We start from the raw sequence: 1,667 nt of genomic DNA, 5'->3' as shown, positions 1-1,667 counted from the left end.
TCATACAAGATGTCTCCATCTTCATTTTGCCTATTATCTTTCCCCCAGTTCTACACTGTTCCAAGGGTATATGCCAGTCATTTCTGAGTTGATATTAGGCCGGGACTCAAGATCACCAAATCCCTAAAAAACCACTTACAGTCACAACCATGTCTACTAGATTCCCCATAAGAGACACAATCCATGCCTTGATGGTGAGGCCTGGCCTGTGCACACTGTTTATTACTGTTTGGGTTTGGTGCCAAAATCCTTTTTGGAATTCCTAGACCTGGCGAATTGTGCTGGACTACATAGGGCTGAAAACATTCCTATGTGTCTTTTGTCAGAGGCCTAAATGAAGTTCCTCCAGATCTCACTCTAGTGGCAAAAAAAAAAAAAAAAAAAAAAGAGAGAGAGAGAAATCCAAAGAAAAATAGAATATAGGTGGGATGGTTCCCTACGCCCAAAACCTAGACACTCTACCCCAGGCCAGGCCTTCCTGTGGCAATAGGAAGTGGGGTGTGGGTGGTTGGTGAGAAAAGGCCGTTGGAGGAGTTCATTACTAGGTGGAAAGCAGGCCTGTCTTAATTGCTAGAGCGGCAGCTGGCGGAGACATCATTTTAATAAGACAAGTCCAAAATGACAGAGTCTCTAAAATCCCTAATCCAACTGGAGAGCATAGTTAGAGAATAAGCTTCTGCCTCCTTTTCTTACCATGACATTAAAAGTTCCACGCTCTGCCTCAACACTGTGGCCCAATAAAGATCCTCAGAAATTAATGTTGCTTCTCCTTAGGTGTCAAGGACAGGGAGGACTGGAGCTTTGATCTGACCCCATAGGCCAGCAGTGTATATTACCCCACAGTTAGCTAATGTTATGGTCATAATTTACCTCCTCAGGCCTGCCTGGGATCTGTCAGTTTTATCAATGGGGAGGTGAAACAGAAGCTGATCCTCTTCCCTACCAGCCTTCCAGATTGCCTGGGCTGCTTCATTCCTCCAGCATTCCATTTAAATCAAGGCAGGCACAAGACCTGCTGCTTTGCATTGTGATGGGATGCACCTGACAGGTAGCATCTGAGCACTCTGGGATGCTATGCAGCAGTGCAGCTACAAGCATGAATCAATTAAGTGGCGATTAGGTTCAGACTCTCAAGCAATGACATAGTCGGCTTCACACTGACTTTGCTATACATAAAATCCCCAGAAAGAATAATACCTTATCCAAACTTTCATTATATCTGGTAGTAGAATGAATATGGATCGATAATAAATTTTGTTCCAATATAACATTAGTTTCAGAAGAATTTTCTCCTTCTTTCCCTATCAAGAAATCAAATTATGGCCATAAAAATAAAGGCTTATCTACTTGAGGACTCTGTGAAGAGAACAATGGTTTGCTTTTTAATATTAACATTTTAGCTTGTATTTGAAAATAAGCTTGGGTGATTTTATACAAGAGAGAATTAAATATGTTTCTCAGAACATGAACTTACATTTGGATGTTTTGGAAAAATAACCTTTTTTACATGACAATGGAATTAGATCTTATAATAATTTCAGGTTTTTGAATGAAACCTTTTAATTTTGGGGTATATACCAACTTTATAGATAAGAATGGAAAATAAAATAATGAAAATTCATTATACATCTGCCACCAAGCTTTATTAAAATAATATGCCGTATATG

General features: G+C 39.8%; 1 annotated feature.

Moving 5' to 3' along the window:
* Positions 757 to 1,305: an enhancer, noted in NCBI's record as "OCT4-NANOG hESC enhancer chr2:216136088-216136636 (GRCh37/hg19 assembly coordinates)". NCBI's record gives its function as "activates a minimal SCP1, AML or CMV promoter by ChIP-STARR-seq in primed H9 embryonic stem cells {active_cell/tissue: H9 hESC(primed)}" and the evidence as "EXISTENCE:reporter gene assay evidence [ECO:0000049][PMID:30033119]".

Source organism: Homo sapiens, chromosome 2 (assembly GCF_000001405.40).
Source record: "Homo sapiens chromosome 2, GRCh38.p14 Primary Assembly".
Taxonomy (NCBI): domain Eukaryota; kingdom Metazoa; phylum Chordata; class Mammalia; order Primates; family Hominidae; genus Homo; species Homo sapiens.
This window is presented reverse-complemented; position numbering and strand designations above follow the sequence as displayed.